Source organism: Homo sapiens, chromosome 17, assembly GCF_000001405.40.
Source record: "Homo sapiens chromosome 17, GRCh38.p14 Primary Assembly".
Taxonomy (NCBI): Eukaryota; Metazoa; Chordata; class Mammalia; order Primates; family Hominidae; genus Homo; species Homo sapiens.
Genome location: NC_000017.11, coordinates 75,806,867 through 75,823,851, shown reverse-complemented (window position 1 = coordinate 75,823,851; position 16,985 = coordinate 75,806,867). Strand labels below are relative to the sequence as shown.

General features: G+C 56.5%; 1 protein-coding gene across 11 annotated transcripts in view, besides 4 other annotated features; it reads right to left on the bottom strand.

Annotated features, from left to right (window-relative positions):
- Positions 1 to 16,985, bottom strand: part of UNK (unk zinc finger) — a 40,994-nt gene that overhangs the window by 1,948 nt on the left and 22,061 nt on the right. For 6 of the 11 annotated variants that reach the window (XM_047436965.1, NM_001080419.3, XM_047436962.1 and 3 more), the window contains 14 exons: positions 13,883 to 14,092; positions 11,564 to 11,740; positions 11,267 to 11,397; positions 10,639 to 10,774; positions 9,974 to 10,091; positions 8,599 to 8,683; positions 6,940 to 7,082; positions 6,326 to 6,526; positions 5,684 to 5,749; positions 5,036 to 5,210; positions 4,067 to 4,168; positions 3,744 to 3,932; positions 1,194 to 1,375; positions 330 to 587 (listed from right to left, as the gene is read on the bottom strand). In XM_047436965.1, the coding sequence (XP_047292921.1) occupies positions 330 to 587; positions 1,194 to 1,375; positions 3,744 to 3,932; positions 4,067 to 4,168; positions 5,036 to 5,210; positions 5,684 to 5,749; positions 6,326 to 6,526; positions 6,940 to 7,082; positions 8,599 to 8,683; positions 9,974 to 10,091; positions 10,639 to 10,774; positions 11,267 to 11,397; positions 11,564 to 11,740; positions 13,883 to 14,092 (2,173 nt within the window). Of the gene's footprint in view, positions 1 to 329; positions 588 to 1,193; positions 1,376 to 3,743; positions 3,933 to 4,066; positions 4,169 to 5,035; positions 5,211 to 5,683; positions 5,750 to 6,325; positions 6,527 to 6,939; positions 7,083 to 8,598; positions 8,684 to 8,956; positions 9,023 to 9,973; positions 10,092 to 10,638; positions 10,775 to 11,266; positions 11,398 to 11,491; positions 11,741 to 13,882; positions 14,093 to 14,812; positions 14,905 to 16,985 lie in introns of those variants that run through there. The other 5 variants (XM_047436964.1, XM_047436963.1, XM_011525400.2 and 2 more) reach the window with 4 other exon arrangements.
- Positions 6,449 to 6,948: an enhancer, noted in NCBI's record as "H3K4me1 hESC enhancer chr17:73812985-73813484 (GRCh37/hg19 assembly coordinates)". NCBI's record gives its function as "activates a minimal SCP1, AML or CMV promoter by ChIP-STARR-seq in naive H9 embryonic stem cells {active_cell/tissue: H9 hESC(naive)}" and the evidence as "EXISTENCE:reporter gene assay evidence [ECO:0000049][PMID:30033119]".
- Positions 6,949 to 7,450: an enhancer, noted in NCBI's record as "H3K4me1 hESC enhancer chr17:73812483-73812984 (GRCh37/hg19 assembly coordinates)". NCBI's record gives its function as "activates a minimal SCP1, AML or CMV promoter by ChIP-STARR-seq in naive H9 embryonic stem cells {active_cell/tissue: H9 hESC(naive)}" and the evidence as "EXISTENCE:reporter gene assay evidence [ECO:0000049][PMID:30033119]".
- Positions 8,235 to 8,734: an enhancer, noted in NCBI's record as "H3K4me1 hESC enhancer chr17:73811199-73811698 (GRCh37/hg19 assembly coordinates)". NCBI's record gives its function as "activates a minimal SCP1, AML or CMV promoter by ChIP-STARR-seq in primed H9 embryonic stem cells {active_cell/tissue: H9 hESC(primed)}" and the evidence as "EXISTENCE:reporter gene assay evidence [ECO:0000049][PMID:30033119]".
- Positions 8,735 to 9,236: an enhancer, noted in NCBI's record as "H3K4me1 hESC enhancer chr17:73810697-73811198 (GRCh37/hg19 assembly coordinates)". NCBI's record gives its function as "activates a minimal SCP1, AML or CMV promoter by ChIP-STARR-seq in primed H9 embryonic stem cells {active_cell/tissue: H9 hESC(primed)}" and the evidence as "EXISTENCE:reporter gene assay evidence [ECO:0000049][PMID:30033119]".

The following is a 16,985-nucleotide window of genomic DNA, read 5'->3' as shown; positions in this document are numbered from 1 at the left end:
GTCCTGGGCCTCACTGGAAGGCCCGCTGCTCCATGGAGGGTGTACAGGAGGACGCATTTGGGGCCCAGGCATTTGTGAGAAGCTTGGTCAGGGCCGCCCTCAGGGGTGCTGGGGGTGGCACCGACACCCCTCACCCCCAGCCTTTTCACCTTCCCCAGTGCACTCTCCTCACCCATTCCCAGCAGGCCGGCCTTTTGAGTGCTGGCCCAGTGCTGGGCAGAGGCTCTCAGGAGGGTGGCCATCCCTGGAGCAGCCTGGACCAGGTCAGAGTCCAAGAGCTGGCTGAGGCCACCGTGCATCCCACCCAGTGCTCCCCGACCTGGGCTGACCTTGTCCACTTGTTCCAGGTGGGCCCGCAGTTGTTTCTGGAGGGAGTAGAGGGTGGAGAGTGAGAGCGCCTCCAGGTCGGAGAAGGCGGGCAGGGCCTGGGGCTCAGGCCCCGCGTGTAGCCGCTCCAGCTCCTCCTGGAGCTTCTTCACCTGCACCTCCAGTGCATCCCGCTGCTCCCGGGCCAGCTCGCACTCGGCGCCCGCCGCACTGGCCCGCTCACCAGCCTCCTCCGCCTCTTTCTTCCAGGCATCACAAGCCTGTGGGGCCAGCATACAGTCTCATCACAATGGCCCTGCCCTGCCCCTGTCCCCAGAGAGCATCATCTTTTGGGGGCCACTCTGGCTGCGAGGCCTGGTGGGAAGCTGGGTTGGCTCTCTGGGAGGAGGGCAAGGAGGAGGCTGATGCTGTCTGCACAGAGGTTTCAGAACCTGCAGGAGACTCTCCCCTCTGTGGCCAGGGAAAGGGACCTGGGCCTAGCACAGCAGGGACACAGGGTAGAGCTGGGATTCTGGCCAGCACCCATAGGGTAGCCGGCTGCAGCTGGACAGGGGGCCCATTTCAGAACCCAGAACCTTGGACTTGAAACCCTGGAGAGGCGAGGCTACTGGGAGGAGGCAGGTGATCCTGGGACAGACTACAAGCAGCTCACAGAGAGAATTTGAAGCCTGCAACAACAGTAACCACCCAGGGTCCTGACTGGCAAAGCGAGTCCTCCCAGGGGGAGAGCGAGCGAACAAAACTGAGTTTCTGCTCTGTTCTTCCAGCCCCCGCTTTCCCCCACCCCACGCCCACTCTGTGAAGGAAGGTCTTGGGCTGGATGCCACCTGGCACTGGGGAAGGCCGGCAGGCACGGGGCCTGGTACCTGCTTGGCCTGCTTCCAGGACTCCTCCCACTGCTTGATGGTGCTGTTGGCTTCATCCAGCTCTTGCCGAAGTCGGGCCAGCTCGGCAGCCCCTGGCCCTGATAGGAAAGCGGGGGAAGTGCCCGGGGAGAAGCTTCCAGAGGCAAAATGCTCCCAGATGCTGCTGTTCATCCCGTTCAGACCTGCCCCAAGGAGGGGAAGAACATCAGCTCCGGAGGGCTTTGGGCCCAGGCCCTGGCCAGCCCTGCCTCAGAGGTTCCAGGGACTGGCTGTCCACTGGATGGGTGTGCAAGGCTCCAGCTAGTGTCAGGCCAGAGAATTTTGCAGGGACAGGAAGGCTGTGAAGGTGCAGGTGGCGTGGGCGGAGTCAGACCTAACCTTGAGTGACACCTGCTAGTTGGTGCCACTCAACTTCCGAGGCTCAGCACCCTCATGTGGGAAATGGGACTCCCACACTGGCCTCACCGGGTAACTCAGGGGACTCAGGAAGTACTGCATGTGAGAGCAGTCCCAGGCCCCCGATAGTGGCAATTTATGATTGTGGCTTCACTTTTAGGCTAGGGCCTTTTTGCAGCCTGATGTGAGGCCCAGGAAGAGATAAAGGGGAAAAGACAGGCCAGAGCCTCATCGGATGGCAGAGCTGGGGCAGGAAGAGCTCAGGGAGCCTTGGGGCCATCCCCCTTGTTTTACAGACAAGGACCCTGGATAAAATGTTTTACCAAGAATCACACAAATTGTAAGTGGTAGGGCCAGGACACAGACAGGGAGTGTGGTTCCAAAGGCCTATGCTTTCCAGTCAACTATGCTGCGTGCACAGCCTCCCACCCACCGCCAACCCAGCTGCCCTCTGCTCACTCGCTCAACAGATGTTTACTAACATCAGGTCCCCCTGCTCTGGCCCCCAGGGCAGCCCCGGGCTTCCGAGAAGGACCCATATCCACCTCTGGCCTCACTCTGCCCATATGTACTTTCTGGTGACTTCTTCCTTGCTCCCTTTCCCACTAATCCAACCAGGATGTTCCAGAACCAGATTTAAGACGCTTTGCTCTCTGAGACACACAAGTGCACCCACAGAGGAGGGACATGGTCCTGTGCGGAGACCCTGTGGCATGCACTGTCTGAGCCATCTGCCCCATCCCAGAGGAAGACCTCAGGGTCACCCCACCCACATGAGACCAGCCCTGCAGCAAGCTCTCCTGTCCCACCCATCTCTCCTCCTCCCTTGGAGAAGCTCTCCTGACTCTGCTGTCCAGGTAGGCCCCTCTATGATTCTCAGGAGGATCCCAATGGCTGGGCACCTCTGCTTCCCACACTGGCCACAGCTGCTGGACAGCAGGGACTGTTGCACTTACACCTGTATCAATACACCTGTGCTCAATAGTCACATGGTGCAGGAAGGAGTGTGTGGCCAGTAAGTGGAGCTAAGTCTAGACGCCACCAGAAGCTGGGCATGGTGGTGCACGCCTGTGGTCCCAGCTACTCAGGAGGCTGATGTGGAAGGATTACCTGAGCTCAGGAGTTCCAGGCTGCAGTGAGCTAGGATCATGCCACTGCACTGCACTCCAGCCTGGGTGACAGACTGAGACCCTACTCGAAAAAAAAAAAACAGATCCTATCCGAATATGGGGCAAGTCCGAAAAATGCAACACCAAGCACCTAAAGCTGACAGAATCAACGTAACAGAGAACAGCCTCTTCAAACTGGAAGGCGCTGAGAAATCCATGTGCTGTTCTGGGATCAGGAATGAGATAAGGGAAGCCACCAAACCCAATCAGAACTCTGAAGGGCTCATTCCCTGGGCCCGAGCAAAATGCTGGCACTCTCGGGGAGGGAGCTCCTGGTGTCTGCAGCTGCTGGGGGAGAGTGAGAGCGGTGGTGCCATGTGCTTCCCATCCCGCCCTCAGGAACATCCCCTGACACACACAAGAGGAGATGCACAGCCGGCCCGCAGTGGCACAGGCCTCTGTGCCATTCTTCTAGCCACTAAACCTTGAAGTGCCCTCAGAAACCCCCATTCCATACCATTCTAATTCTGTGGGCAAACAGCCTTCTGGGCCAGCCCTGGGCCTCCCTGGAGCCTCTGCCCGGCAGGAAGGGCACCCGAAGCCAGGGGTTAACCTGTCTGGCTTCTCCCTTGGTCCCCTGTGAACCTGGCTGGTGCGAGCCAGCCTCTCGGAGCCTGGGGTGACTGGGCAGAACAGAACCATGCTGTGAAAGAGACCAGGCCCAGCCCTGGCAACTGAGACCCCTGCTCTCACCTGCACTGGCCTCGTGCCTAGCACTTCAGCCCCATTACTCCATTCAATGCTCACAACGTTAGGAGGTGGATGCTGCCGTTATACCCATTTCACAGCAGAGGAAACTAAGGCAGAGAGGCTCAATCACTTGTCCAGGGTCACACAGACAGGAATCTGACTCTGCCTCCTCGCCCAAGGCCTCTGCCCTAACCCCCAGCCTAGCTGATATGCCGTAGATGGGGTGGCCAGAGGCACCTCCTAAAGGCGCAGGTTCCTGCCCCAGTTCTCCTGAGTGAACCACTCCCTCTCTTACCCAAAGATCCATGTGATGCTGAGGTTCCCAAAAATGTGTTTTCCGACTGACTCAGGTGGCCCTGGGGCTGCTGCAGGAAATGCGAGGAGAGGCTGACGGGAGGGGACGGGGATGCTGAGTGGAAGGAGGCAGAGCTGCCCAAGGAGCCGGGGATGTTCACGGGTGCAGAGCTCTGCAGCAAGCTGCCGCCTGCAAGAGAGGCCCGGGGAGGACGGGCTGGGTGAGGGCAGCGGAAGCCAGGCGGGCCACACAGAGCAAGGGGCCTGAGCCAGGCAGGAACCCGAGGAGTCCTCCAGGCTGCCCTGCCCACCCACACCCAGTACCGATGGTGATGCTTCCTGGGTGGGGCACTGTGCTGTTATCGAAAGTCTTCTCCAGGGCGGCCACGCCAAACTCATTCAGGTCCAGGTCATCCAAAGCAGACTCTAGGGACAGAGAAGAGTGGGATGTGACCTCCCGAGGGACTATCTGACCCTGACCACCTCGTCTACTGCCCACGCTGCATCTTCACGCCCATGCTACGCTGGGTCCGTATTCTCCCAAGCCCCTGTGCCCTTCCTTCAGCTGCTTCCTATGCCAATCCTGACTCCTGACTTCTGACACCGTCTGCCAGTCATGTCCAACCCAAATGCCTCTCCTTTCTGAATCTTCTTTGATACTTCCAGGAGAAATCACATCCCCATCCAGGGTCCCTGCCTCGGACAAGGGTCTTGTCCCCTGATGTTACAACTCAAGGGTCTCAGCCCCGGGATCAGTGGGGGTGGGCGGGTCTCTGGGCACTCAGTGGCTGGTGTATAGCAGGTGCTTGACAAATGTCCACTGGGTGGGAAGTTTCCCTCTAGAGGGCAGGAGCAGCATGTTGTCATCTGTCTCCTCAGTGCCTGCCACAGGACCTGGCACAAAGCGGGCACCTAGAAATGAGTACTGAAAGAAAGGAGCACCAACTTCTAGCACCAGGGATTCTGAGAACGTCGTGCTGGCCATTCACTACACAAGGACACCAGTGAGATGAGTGGGGACTGAACAACACGTCTTGGGGTGAGACTGTACTCACCAAGGGGAAAAGGCACCTCTTTCTAATTTGCACAAAGGAGCTCTAAGGGTCAGTCCTGGCCCTACACCTTGGGGTCATTTCCCCTTTAGCTCAAAGGACTCAGAGTGCCCATCCCCTGATTTTCCGAAGACAGATGTCTAAGGGGTCTGGTGTGCTGATTTGAGACTCGCTTCAGAGACTGGGGGGTCTCTGACCCCAGACCCAGTCCTGGGCTTTCAAACAGAAATGGCCTAGTTACCTATGACTGACTCTACCGTGTCGCTGGTGGGGTAGAAGGGCAGAGCGTTTGCATTCATGCCGGGGACGCTGCTGGTGCCCACTGGGCTAGGGGGGGTAGCTGCCAGGCTGGAGGTGATACTAGAAGAGATGCTTGAGGTCAGGGGGCTGCCTGCGGGGAGGATGCCCAGCATGTCCTGCAACGAGAGAGGGAAGAGGAGAAGCAATGGTAGGCCTGCATACGGAGGCCAGGACGAGAGGCTGGAGAGGGGCTGGGGGCAAGGGAAATGGCCCGTGCTAGCTCTAGTCCGGGTGCCCCCATGCCCACATGGGCCCCGGCACACCCGACACCTTGTTGAGAGCATGGAGTTGGAGGTGCGGAGGCTGCCAGGCCCATTCGCCCCTACAGTCCTGTAGCAGGGAAGAGAGAAGCGAGTACAGGGCCTGGCAGAGTGCAGAGGCTCCAGGAACACCTTCTCCACTGAGTCTAGGAGGTGAGGGGCTCCAGGGCCTGACCCCCTACCCTCTCTGGATTTGTGGCTGGGACCCCACTTTAGTCCTGCCCTCAGCTTTTGGGAAAAGTGGTGCCTCCCACTCCCCGAAGCCTCCTGGGGTTCTGGGCCACTCCTGTCCACAGCAGAGGGGAGGAAGGGGGCTGAGAGCTCTATACCTGTTTGGGCTGAAGCAGAGGCTGCTCTTGACTCCTGGGCTCTAATGAGTGGGGTTTTAATTTGGCCTGAGAGAGAAAATTCAGGGAGTGGATGAATGTGGTGCTGGGGGGTCCCTGAGTCCATCTGACCCTGAGGCTGCAGGTACCAGGGGGCAGGTGGTGGCAGACATGCAACCCCTCTTCACATGCATGCACACACCCCCTTCTTCCTCCCCACCCCCTACTCCCTTCCCCTACCCTAAGCAGGGAGCTGCCCTTCTCCTCCCGGTGACACTAGGCCTCATGTAAGCCCAGAAGGTATCTCTCCAGGCCCAGTTAGGGACCCCTGTGTCCTGCTTCCCCAGGCCCTGTCTTTCCATGAAGGCAGTTCAGGGCAGCCGAAGGACCGCACCCAGGCGGGATCTGGCTCCTCTCCTAACCAGCTCTGCAGCCCAGGGGAGGCTATGCAGCCTCCCCAGCCTTCCTGTCTTCAGCTGCAAATGGGCTGACACTGCTCCCTCTGTTCAGTCCTGAAGAGGCCGAGGACAGTGGAGTCCTAGCTCCCAGTCATCCTCCCCGTAGCTGGACCAAGACACTCCTCCAAGATTCTCTTGCCCCACGCAGGAGAAGGCTAACCTCACTGCTGCCTCCCTCATCCCTTACCTGGCATTTGAAATTTTTCAGGTACTCGGCTCCCACCTGGTCTTCCCTCTCGAAGCCGGGAGCCTTCTTATAGCTGCCAGGGGCCAGGCCAGACTCCCCAGGGAAGACGATGCCCTCCAGGTTTGGGGGCTTCCTGATGGAGCCCGGTGGGGAGCCGCAGAGGTTAGACGGGCTGCCTAGGCTGCTGTTTCTACAGAGGAGCTGCGGAGAAGGAGGGGAGGGAGTGGGCCCGTGGGCACAGCGCAGGCTGGTGCGTGGCCCATCCTCCACCCTCTCCAGAGGGAGTCTTCAAGGGGCTCAGTTCCACTTTCATCTGCCAACGAGCAGCAGTGACCACTCGGGGAGCCCGAAGCTCACGAAGGAAAGGGGAGTGACCTCAGGCTTTGTCCCTGCCACCAGTCCTACAGGCTCATCAGCACAGGCTCTGGGGACTGCCCTACCCCACCCCCGGGCCTGGACTTTTGACGAAGAATGCTGAGATGGAAAAGACAGATCCCCCTGGCCTGAGGACAAATACCAGGATGGTCTCCCAAGCCCAGGCTGAAAGGGCCTAGGAGGCAAGTATTGGCTCTGTCAGGCATGGTGCCCACCCACTCCCCAGGATGGACACGTACGGCACTGAGGTCAGGGGCATGCGGGCTGGAGGGGCTCACAGGCACCGAGTCTCCGGCGGCAGATGGCATGTACAGGACAGGACCTGGCTGGGTGGGGCTGGACACAGCTGAGGAAGGCTGCAGGTCGTCACTCAGGGGTGGCTCTGCAAGAGTCAGGGGCAGGGGTCAGCAGGCCCCAGCCAGCTCTGTCCCTCCAAAAATGCTCCTGGGTCCCTTCCAAAGGAGACCACAAATCCCCCTGCACATAAAGGGAAGGTTCCTACGACATCTCTAGTAACACCATGTCTGTGCATTTACTGTGTGCCAGGCACTGTGCCAGCACTTTGCAGTAATTGTGAATCTTCATGGTGACCAGAAGATACCAGTAATATGGTCTCCATTTTATAAATAAGAAAACTGAGGCTCAGAGAGGTAAGGTAAACCCACCAAAGTGACAGAGCTAAAACACAGAGGAGCTGGGTCTTGAACGCTGATCTGTACAACTCCAAAGCCTGAATCACTTCCTTATGCCGTCTCAGCCAGGCGGTCCCAATGCCCATGGCCGGGGACCACCTCTGCATCAAGAATATGCTTCTCCCGCCCAGGGCCCTCGATTTATTTTCCATTCTCATCTCAGAGATAGGGCCTGAGCCTGGAAAGAGGTTAAGGAGACCCAGGGCAGTATCTTGGGGTGGAAAGAGGTGTTAACAGGTACAAACTGGAGCTCTGTCTCTGAGACTGGTGGCGGCCTACAGTATCATGCTGAGGATCCAGACCCACACTGTCCCACAAGGCAGCCGAAAGCCACATGTGGCTACTGAGCCCCTGAAACAGGCTGGTCTGAATGGAAATATCCCGTAGGCATTAAAATGCTATCAGATCTCATAGACTTAGTACAAAAAAAGGTGAAATGTCTTGATATTTTTGTATATTGATTATTGAAATAACCTTTTATGTTGGGCTAAATACAAATATGTTATTAAAATTAATTTAACAACATATTTTCCAATGTTTAATTCTTTTTTAATTTTTTTTTTTTTTTTTTTTTAAGACAGAGTCTCGCCCTGTTGCCCAGGCTGGAGTGCGGCGGCATGATCTCGGCTCACTGCAACCTCTGCTTCCTGGGTTCAAGTGATTCTCATGCCTCAGCCTCCCGAGTAGTTGGGATTACAGGCGTGTGCCACCATGCCCAGCTTATTTTCATATTTTGCTATTTTTGTTAACATGCTTAAATATTTTAACTTTAAAATGACATATGGGGATTGCACTATATTCTGACTGGCTAGCTCTGCTCTAGAGGCCTGAGCAGGACTCAGCAGAGAAGAGCTCCATGTTCCATTAGTGATGTCTGTCATGGGTATGACATGGGGTGGCTGGTGGGATTTGCCAAGTCAGCCATGGGAGGCACAGTGCCTCAACCCTCCCTGGAACCATGAGTGCTCAACCAGGCGGACAATCCCTGCAGTCTCTATCTCACTACTTTGGAAGCTCTAGGCCTTCAAGGCTACTTCCAGAAAGGTGGGGGAATGGAGCTTCCAGTGGGGACAAGGCCTGCTGCTGGCAGGCCAGAACTCCTGTGCAGGGCATACTGCCAGGGGCCATCCCCGGCCTAAGCCTGAGCTAGCCAGGCGAGGGAGGGGTGGGAGAGGGCACTGCCCCGGGGCAATGGGAACAGCATACGTTCTACGTGGGCAAAGGCGCAGAAGGGTCCTCGGGGACAGCTGCCCGACTGCTGCATGTCGTTGCACTTGGTGGACTTGTAGATCTGGAGGGCAGAGCACAGGCAAGTCAGGCTCAGGCCCTGAGGGAAGGCCGGGCAGGCTCCCCTTCCTCCAGCATGAGTGCGCTGGCTTAGTCATCTCTTGCCCTGTGTTCCCGGCCCCTCCCCTCCCCTCCACTATGTCTCTCCCTACCAGCTTCTTACTCAAACTCCTGAGGCAGCCCACCACCACTCCCCATTGTCACTGACAGCCTCCGTTCTGGGGCCACAGGTCCCACCAGCCCTCCCAAAGGGATCCCCCAGTGACTCTCCACTCACGGGCATGGCCAGGTCTGTGCCTCCAAGCGTGCCTCCTGGGCATTAAGGGAGCCACAATCTCAGGCAACTACCCCTGCCAATGTGAACCCTGTCAGGATACCCTGGGTTGTGACCTATATAAGTAACCTTCCACTCTGCTGTCTGCAGCTACATAAGGTAGTTTCTGTCCGCGTGTCTACCTCAGGGTGTCCTGGCTTCCATGGAACACCAAGGGCAGGGACTGCAGGTGCCTCTCTGAACCCCAGACAAGACCTAGGCACACAGATATGGCCCAGGCTACCTCTTGGGGCCAGAGGGCAAGGGAACTGTGTTAGGGAGGTTGCTGATAATCTAGGCCCTGATAGGAGACAGGGCAACAGGAAGGAGCTTACTTTTTTTCAATCCTTTTTTTTTTTTTTTTTTTTTTGATGGAGTCTCGCTCTGTCACCCAGGCTGGAGTGCAGTGGTGCGATCTTGGCTCACTGCAACTTCCGCCTCCCGGGTTCAAGCGATCCTCCCACCTCAGCCTCCCGAGTAGCTGGGGTTACAGGCGCTCACCACCAAATCTGGCTAATTTTTGTACATTTAGTAGAGATAGCATGTTGCAGGGTAGTCTCAAACTCCTGACCTCAAGTGATGCACCCACCTCGGCCTCCCAGAGTGCTGGAATTATAGGCATAAGCCACCGTGCCTGGCCCTATTTTTTCAATCCTGATGTCACTGGATTACAAGCACCATGAGTGGTGGAAAGCCCAGAGTGGCCAGGTCGCCACACTCCATCTACACCTGCCCTGTCAGGAGGCCTGGGGGACACAGAACTGGAAGCAGAGGGCTGCTTGGTGAGCGTGGGCTCAGAATAGGAGAAGATGCCAAATTCAGCATGCAGGGATCCTCTAGGCACTGCCAGGGGAGAGCTGGTGGCCACAAGTCCCTCTTCCAGGATGGCATCAGGATGGGTTCTGCCAACATCTCCACTGATCCTGCCTGCCTCTCTCCTTACTTCCCAAAGCCACCCCCCCACCCTGCTGTGGGGCCCACCTCGGGGTGGAACTGCTGCTCGGTGCGGGTGTGGCAGTACTGGCAGGCGTCTCCGTTCTCACACTTGCCAGGGTCTCCCCACTCATCCCCGTGCTTGACGTTTGGACATGGAGACGACCTGGCCAACAAGAGGGTGGGGTCAGATGGAGAAAGGAGAAGGTGAGATCGGAGCCTAGCAGGTGCCACCTGGACCCAGCCTCATAGGCATGAGCACAGAAATGGAAAAGACCAGCTGCAGAGTCAGGGCCTTGCTGGTGCCACAAGCCAAGCTCTTTCTCTGACCCAGCCTGGCCGAATCACCACAAAGGATACTGTTTGATTCCCCTCAGCCAGGCCCTCCCACTAGCCCAAGTAGGGTCAGGCTGGAGCTACAACCACACTGTCCACGCTGTGGCCTGGTCCTCATTCAACACATTCCCCTCAGGATCAGGAGCGGTGGAGCCTCAGAGACGGTCTGACCAGGGTCCTCATTCATGCAGGAGGTGAAGCTGGGCTCCTACTGTCCAGCTATCCTCACTATGCCCTCCCCTGGGCCCTGGGCTTGCGATCCTGTCATCCCCAGGACCAGCCTCCCCTCCTCCCGGAGAGCCAGTGGGAGCAGCCTCTGCCTGACCCCTTCCCTGCCACTCCTCCCTCCCGTGGCTGGCCTCCTGGGGCCTAAGGACCTGTATTTGTGCTTCCGGGGGCTCCGCCGCCGGTCCTTGCTGTTGTGGTAGTAGGGACAGGCATAGCCTTGGCGGCACAGCCGCGGGGGCTTCTTGCAAGGCTCCGTCTTATAGTTCCCCAGCACATAAGCAGTCTCTGCACAGGGGGCCAGAGGGCAGGGGTCAGGTGAGAGGAGCTGGAGCACCCCAAGACTAGCAGGACTGGAGTGGAGGGAAGGAGAAGCCACTGGGAAGGAGTTCAAGACAGGAGGCCCCTGCCAGATGTGAGTAGGGCCCCTCCTCCCAGGCCATGGGACAGCCCCAGGTGCAGCAAGGACAACAGATGCTGTCCATCAGAGAGACACTCACAGCTCACAGGGTGAAAGGGCACTCTTGCAGGGCGGAAAACATTTGCATGTGCGCTTATGTACGTGCCTGTGCACATGTGAAAGCCTGGAGGGATCTTGGGAACATGATGTGTCAGGGAAAACGCCCCTAGAGGCGCCTTTTGAATGGTGGGTGTAGGGTGGGATGCGGGCCAGGTCGGGGCCTCGGCTAGAGCAGGCAGTAGGTGGTGGTGAGCCAAATCCCCAGGGCAGCTATGAGCAGGATTATAGGGAGGGCGCGGCCGAGGTGTGGATGCCTGTACCTTGCCACCGAGGCTCCTCGCTGAGGATCTTTTCTATCATGGCATGGCTCGCAGCCCCAGCCGACTGGCCCTCTATGCTCCCCTCTACCGTGGTCTGGCCATTCTGCAAGGCCTCCATGGCCTGAAGCTCCCTGGGAGGAGAGGAAAGAACAGAGAGGGTGGAGAGGGGGCATGAGGGGGCAAGAACCAGAGTGCCAGCCCTCCACTGCAGTCTGAGGTACTCACCATCATTAGCCGCCAGGCCCCTGCCCTGGACCCCAGCCTACTGCCATCAGCCCAGCCCAGCACCCAGCCCACCTGATGTCGTAGACAGGGGAGCGGAGGTCATGGGGCCCGTGGGCAAAAGCGCAGTGCAGGCCGTTTTTGGTGCAGTTGCCTTTCGAGTCTGTCTCGTGGATGCAGATTCCAGTTTTGTAGTAACGAAGGTGGTACCTGCGCTCAGTGTCCCCTGTGGTTCTGTGCAGGAATGGGCACCTGGAACACGGTAGTGGGGGTCACTCAACTTTGCTGCCTGCAGCCTAGGCTTCCCTGCCTACCCCCTGCCCTTACCCCAACTGTTTTTGTTGTTGTTGTTGTTGTTTGTTTGTTTTGTTTTGTTTTTGAGACGGAGTCTTGCTCTGTCGCCAGGCTGGAGTGCAGCGGCGCGATCTTGGCTCACTGCAACTCTGACTCCCTGGTTCAAGTGATTCTCCTGCCTCAGCCTCCCGAGTAGCTGGGACTACAGGCACACACCACTATGCCCAGCTAATTTTTGTATTTTTAGTAGAGACGGGGTTTCACCATGTTGGCCAGGATGGTCTCGATCTCCTGACCTCATGATCTGCCCACCTCAACCTCCCAAAGTGCTAGGATTACAAGCATGAGCCACTGCGCCTGGCCTTTCCCCAACCATTGAACAGCTTTCACTATGGCCTGGAAGGTGCACTAGGAAGAAGGCAATGATGAGCCCTGCTGCGAGGTAACAGAACTGCCCTGCTGCTGCCTGCAGCCTAAATGGGGCCCAACAGGGCCTGGCATTCCAGGGCAGGACAGACATCGGAGAACAAATGCTGCCCAGGCTTGGGGGCCGTCAGAGAAGCAAATGATCTACTCAAAACTCAGGTATAGCCTTCATCCCCTGAGTGCTTCGTTAGGCTAGGGGTAGGGTCAGCAAGCCTTGGGCCTCCGTGAGAAAGAGGTGCTAGGCTGGGCCAGTAGCTCACATCTGCAATCTCAGCACTTTGGGAGGCAAGGCAAGAGGATCATTTGAGGCCAGGAATTTGAGACCAGCCTGGGCAACACAATGAAGACATCCCCTCACCCATCTCTACAAATTAAAAATGTTTTAAATCATGGCCAGGCGTGGTGGCTCACCCCTGTAAATCCCAACACTTGTGGGAGGCCGAGGCGGGTGGATCACCTGAGGTCAGGAGTTTGAGACCAGCTTGGACAACATGGCAAAACCCCGTCTCTACTAAAAATACAAAAAATTAGCAGGGCGTGGTGGCCTGCGCCTGTAATCCCAGCTACTTGGGAGGCTGAGGTAGAACTGCTTGAACCCGAGAGGTGGAGGTTGCAGTGAGCCGACATGGAAGTGCCAGTGGAAGCAGGTGCCCATTCCAGCCTCGGCAACAGAGCGGACTCCATCTCAAAAAAAAAGAAATCAACTGAAGCCGGGCATAGTGGCTCCTGCCTGTAATTCCAGCACTTTGGGAGGCCAAGGAGGGCGGATCACCTGAGGTCAGGAGGTCGAGACTAGCCTGGTCAGCATGGTGAAACCCTGTCTCTACTAAAAATGCAAAATTAGCTGGGTATTGTGGTGCACGCCTGCAGTCCCAGCTACTTGGGAGGCTGAGGCAGGAAAATCACTTGCACCCAGGAGGTGGAGGTTGCAGTGAGCCAAGATCGCACCCCTGCACTCCAGCCTGGGCAACAGAGTAGAGTTTGAGGGTGCAGCGAGGATGCTGCCACTGCACTCCAGCCTGGGGGAAAGAGGGAGACCCTGTCTAAATAAATAAATAAAATTATAAAAATTTTAAAAAAGAAAGAGGGCTGACGAAGGGAAGGCTCTATGAGACAAGCAGGGTCAGTGAATGTTCCGTCGGTGACACTCCCAGGTGTGGCACCTCCCTATGTCTGTCATTAGTGTGACACTCCCAGGTGTGGCACCTCCCTATGTCTGTCATTAGTGCGACACTCCCAGGTGTGGCACCTCCCTGTGTCTGTCAGTGCTGTGCCCTATTTCTCTACAGAGATTTGCAGTAAGATATTTAGGGTCAGCAAACCTGGGCACCAGTGAGGCGCTCTCTCTAAACAGCCAGCTTTGGTGGGAACTGCATGGGATGTGATCCCCAGGGGAGGATGAAAAAAGGCCAGGGAGCCTCCTGGGTTCAGATGTGGGCCCTTAGGCTTAGTGAAAGAAAGGCCTGTCTTAGGTTTCCTAAAAGTGGGAAAGGGAAATGGTACCTCCCCGCAGCCTACCGCCAGGGATGGTGGGGTCTGAGTCCAGGCTCGGGCCATGGGCTGGGCTGCAACCAGTCCTCTGGATGGCTTCCCAGAATCTGCCCAGCCTACCCTGAGGGCATCTGACCCAGAAGGAGACACGGGGCTCCTCTGAGGACAGGCTGGGTCACTCACTCGTCGCCCTCCGGGCAGAGGCCTGTAGCCTCGTCGTACTTGGTGCAGTAGACGTCAGGGCTGTAATTGAAGGTGCCGTCCCGACGGCGGATGGACCGGCGGCGCCGCTGGTTCACGAAGTGCCAGTGGAAGCAGGTGTAGGGCCGATGCTGCGTGCATTTGTGTTGCACAAAGAGTGGGCACTGCTCTGTGCGGAATTCTTTCAGGTACCTGCAGAGAGAGCCCCGCGTGGGGCAGGCCGGGAGCAGAGAATGAAGTCTCTTGCTTCCCAGCAAGAAGTTAGCCGCCAAGTCCCCTGAGGGCCCTGCTCTGGGGTGCTAGTTCCACTGGAACACCAGGAGAGACCCAGAGCTGTAAGGCTACACCTCAGCTCTAGGATCCAAACCAACACCCCAGTCCCACACCAGCCTGAAAGGCAGGAACCACAGACCACAGGGACCTCGGCGGTCAGCTGTCCGCTGTGTTGACCAGCTGTGGCGTTAATCAGCAGCTTGGTTCTCTGAGCCCTTTCCAAGGTTTCCCAAGCCAAACCACTAATCACAGGCAAAGGGCTGCAAATAAGAGCATGAGGCGCCTCTGCCAAACTCTACAGGCCTCTGCTACCCAGGTCCACCTGCCTGTTGTTGCAGGCCTTGCCTGTACCATGAGCTGGGGCTGTGGGCTGAGAGGAGAAATCTACAGATAAGCACTTAGGCTTTTCAGCTCTGAAGCTGAAAGCCCAGGTCACAAGGCATCCCTCGGGACTACTGACTCAGTAATTACCGTCCTGTCTGCCCGCCTCCGCCCAGAGACATTTCCTAGCACTACCTAGATCTGTGCTTGGGGAAAATCTCATACTGAAGTTCTGAAGATACCCGCCCCCCCGCCCCCGCCCCCGCCCCCGCCGCTCCAGCCTGTTCTGTCCCCAGTCGTGTCACCTCATGTGAGTACCTGCAGCAGCCGGGCTATTTATGTCCTGGGGGCATGAAGCTGTCTCCTTTTGGCCGCCTCCTCCCAACCTTCACTGGTCTCTCTCCTCTGCCCTGCATGTGTAACAGCCAAGACACTCCCAAATCTCTTCTCCCACATTCCACCCAGTGGAAGGCCCCAGACCCACTTACCCCCTTACATCTGGGTTTTTGTTTGCTACATGTGTCTAGGTTGGGGGGTCTCCTAGACTGGGCTCCCCTGCCCCTGGCCCCAGAAGGACAGGCAGTTAGTATAGTTCTCTTTAGTCTCTCGAGCCTAAAAATGCAAGCAACAAATGGCTTGGGATAGGACATCTAACGTCATCGAGAAGGATGGTGCCAGAGGCTTGGAGACTGCAGAAAGAAGCATGAAGGGAACAGAAGTCAATCCAAAAAAGGGATCCTCGACCCAGGCTGGGATGCAGGAAGGAGGAAGGGGGAAGAGGGGAGGAGAGGTACTAGTGGATGAAGAATTTGAAGGTGTTTTTGGAACAGAAACAGTATGAGCTTAGAAACAGAGTATGTCTGGTTCTAAGAGCTCCCAGTACCTTCGTGGATGTGCGTGGAATAGGAAGGGAACTGGAAAAGAGAAAAGGAGGATGAGGTGAGGTACAGGAGGCAAACTGCAAATTTCAAGGGCCTCATCTCTGGGCTCCAGGTACATCCTGAAGACCCCAGGCAGAAATCTGGAAGCCTCCCTATGGCCTGATGCTCTTCTGGTCCCTTTGGCATTTGAAGCAAAGGTTCTTCTCCTTTACTGTCTGGTTAGACAAAAAGCTGTGCCCTCCTGCTACACAAAGGTACCACGCCTGGCACTGAGCTGGGATACCCATTCCTCAAACTGGTAGGACCATCCCTCTCCTGGGAGGTACATCCTCTTCCTGACTTTTTGGACCCACAAAGAAACTACCTCAGGAGGTAACAGAAAATGGGAGAGAAGGAACTTTCCTGAAAGAGGGAAGCTGGGCCCCGAGCCAGGAACACAGAAGAGTGAGGCATGGTTAGAATGGGCAGATTAAGGAAGGAACATCCAGTTAAACTGGAATCTCATATAAGCAATGAATAATATTTTAGCCTAATTAAGTCTCAAATATTGCATGGGACATACTTATCCTAAAGAAATTATCTGCTTCTGGTCAGGCACGGTGGCTCATGCCTGTAATCCTAGCACTTTGGGAAGCTGGGGCGGGCGGATCACCTGAGGTCTGGAGTTCAAGACCAGACTGGCCAAACTGCTGAAACCCGGTCTCTACTAAAAATATAAAAAAACGGCTGGGCACGGTGGCTCATGCCTGTAATCCCAGCACTTTGGGAGGCTAAGACGGGCAGATCACAAGGTCAACAGATCGAGACCATCCTGGCCAACCTGGTGAAACCATGTCTCCACTAAAAGAATACAAAAATTAGCTGGGCGTGGTGGCGTGTGCCTGTAGTCCCAGCTACTCAGGAGGCTGAGGTAGAAGTACCTGAACCCAGGAGGCGGAGGTTGCAGTGAGCCAAGATCGTGCCATTGCACTCCAGCCAGGGCAATAAGAGCAAAACTCCATCTCAAAAATAAATAAATAAATACATAAATACATAAATTATCTGTTTCCAACGTAACTGGCATCCTGTTTTGTTTTTAAGAGACAGGGTCTTGTTATGTTGCCCAGGCTGGAGTGCAGTGGCTGTTCACAGGCTCAATCATGGCATACCACAGCCTCAAACTCTCAGCCTCAGGCAATCCTCCTGCCCCAGTCTCCAGAGTAGCTGGGATTGCAGGTATACGCCACTATTCCCAGCTGGCATCCTTTATTTTTATTTGCTAAACCTGGTAGTTCTAAGAGTGACACATGCCTGCCTGGTGTCAGTGCCTCATGAAAGCACAGGGAGGCAGGAGGAGAAACCTAGGATATGTTCAGCCTGCCTCTGGGCACAGTCTGTCCTGGAGAAGGAAAGGTCCCCGAGGACAGGGGCTAGACCTGGTGAGCCTGCTGACTTGGGGCAGACATGTCCACAGTGCCACGTGCAGATGAGACTCCACAGAGGCTCTGGCTGGCAGGGCTCTCACAGATCAGGACAGACAGTGAGCTACAGATTCCATGTTAAGCCTCTTCACTTCCATTCCCACTGCCCTGGGTCAGGGACTTAAGACCTTTTCCTAAACTGACTTCCCT